General features: G+C 42.3%; 1 annotated feature.

The window, feature by feature from the left end:
• Window positions 242–1,441: an enhancer, noted in NCBI's record as "P300/CBP strongly-dependent group 1 enhancer chr3:26350767-26351966 (GRCh37/hg19 assembly coordinates)". NCBI's record gives its function as "activates an origin of replication core promoter dependent on BRD2, BRD4, P300/CBP, MED14 and CDK7 cofactors, with strong dependence on P300/CBP, by STARR-seq in HCT116 cells {active_cell/tissue: HCT116}" and the evidence as "EXISTENCE:reporter gene assay evidence [ECO:0000049][PMID:35650434]".

Here is a 1,657-nt window from a genome sequence, read left to right as displayed (position 1 = left end):
CAGCACAAAGTTCATTCTCTTCCCTGTGTAGAATACCTAAAGTGAAGATCCACATTACTATTACTTGTTGTGGTTTCCACAGTCAGAGTTGAAAAGGTGGTTAGACAGAGGCTGGCACTCAAATGAACTTATATTAGGGCTGCTGTGAGATCAAAAATGTGGTAATATGTAGCAGAGCACTTGTTCCAGAATAAAGCATCCGACAAATGTAAGATGCCAAATTTATTATTATGTGATCGCTATGATGATTAATTTTTCCAATATTTAAAGACAGCTAATAGGCATTAATTTATCCCAAAATGTTTATGATAAAAGCCCATACTATTAGCACTAGTGAACGTCTCTGAGTCATGAAGCAAAGTATTTTAGCAGCAGTGAATTGTTATGGGTCTGCAGCAACCTCAAATCTCTCCTCTTCAATAGAAAGAATTTGAGAGGCATAAGGCAGAGTAAGAGACCAAGGCAAATTTTAGAGCAGGAGTGAGCTTATTAGAAAGCTTTAGAACAGAAACGAAAGGAAGGAAAGTATGCTTGGAAGTGGTCCAGGCAGGTGATTTGAGGACTTAAGTGTCTGGTTTGACCTTTGACTTGGGGTTTTATATGTTGGCATACTTCTGGGGTCTTGTGTTCCTTCTCCTCTTGTTAAAAATAAATTCTCAGTGCCACAAAAGGAATAGCACTCAAACATAAATTTAATTTTCTCAGCAAGGCGATTTTACTTCTATAGAAGGGTGTGACTCGTGGATGGAGCAATGCTGAGAGCACACCTGAACAAGGGAGGGGAAGGGGTTTTTATTCCTGATGCAGGTAGCCCCTACTGCTGTGTCATTCACCTATTGGCTAGGGTTGGACCACACAGTCTAAGCTAATTCTGATTGGCTATTTTAAAGAGAGCAAGGGTATGAGTCAGAGTGGCAGGGTGAGTAGTTTGGTGGGAAGGACAGTTACAGAACAGGTGACTCAGGATGATTCAGGTCAGAGCAGGTGACCAGGGGTGACTCAGGACAAAGCAGGTGATAGAGGCTAGGAGGGGGTTGTTTACTGAAACCAGGGCAAGGAGATGAAGAGAACGAGGAAGTTAAACTTTAAAATGAAGAACAAAGAACAGGGAAGCTGAATATACTGATACATTGGTTCTTTGGAGAGGATCTCAGAAATCATTGTACTTATCTATTTACAGGCTAAAACCTTTGAAGAGGAATTTATTATATCCTACACCCTGATTCTTCTTTTGGGGTAGGCTGTCCTCATGCACAGTGGCCTGCTAGCAACTGGGAGAGGAGCATGCACACTGTGTTCAGTGGAGTTGTGCACATGCTCACTTGAGGCATTTTCCCCTTACCAGTCAAGTGTTCCTAGATCATATACCAGTTAAACTCTGACATTTTGCCTCTTCATGTGCATACTTGAGCCCACTTATGCAGGTCCTGAGATCTTATCAGGAAGCTGCTGATCACCAGTTTCAGGTGTTTCTATCTATTGGGAGACTACCTTTCCCTGGCACTAGCTGTGACCAATTATTATTTTAGAGAGAGAGCTTAACAACTGCCTGACCATCACCTGATGGTCATCTGAAATTCCTGCATGGGGTGGTGGGGGACTCTCTTGCCCCACTCATGTCTAACTACCTACCATAACAATACCACTGTAGGAAGCA

Source organism: Homo sapiens, chromosome 3 (genome assembly GCF_000001405.40).
Source record: "Homo sapiens chromosome 3, GRCh38.p14 Primary Assembly".
Lineage (NCBI taxonomy): Eukaryota > Metazoa > Chordata > Mammalia > Primates > Hominidae > Homo > Homo sapiens.
The sequence above is the reverse complement of the archived record's forward strand: the minus strand, read 5'-3'. Positions and strand labels throughout refer to the sequence as shown.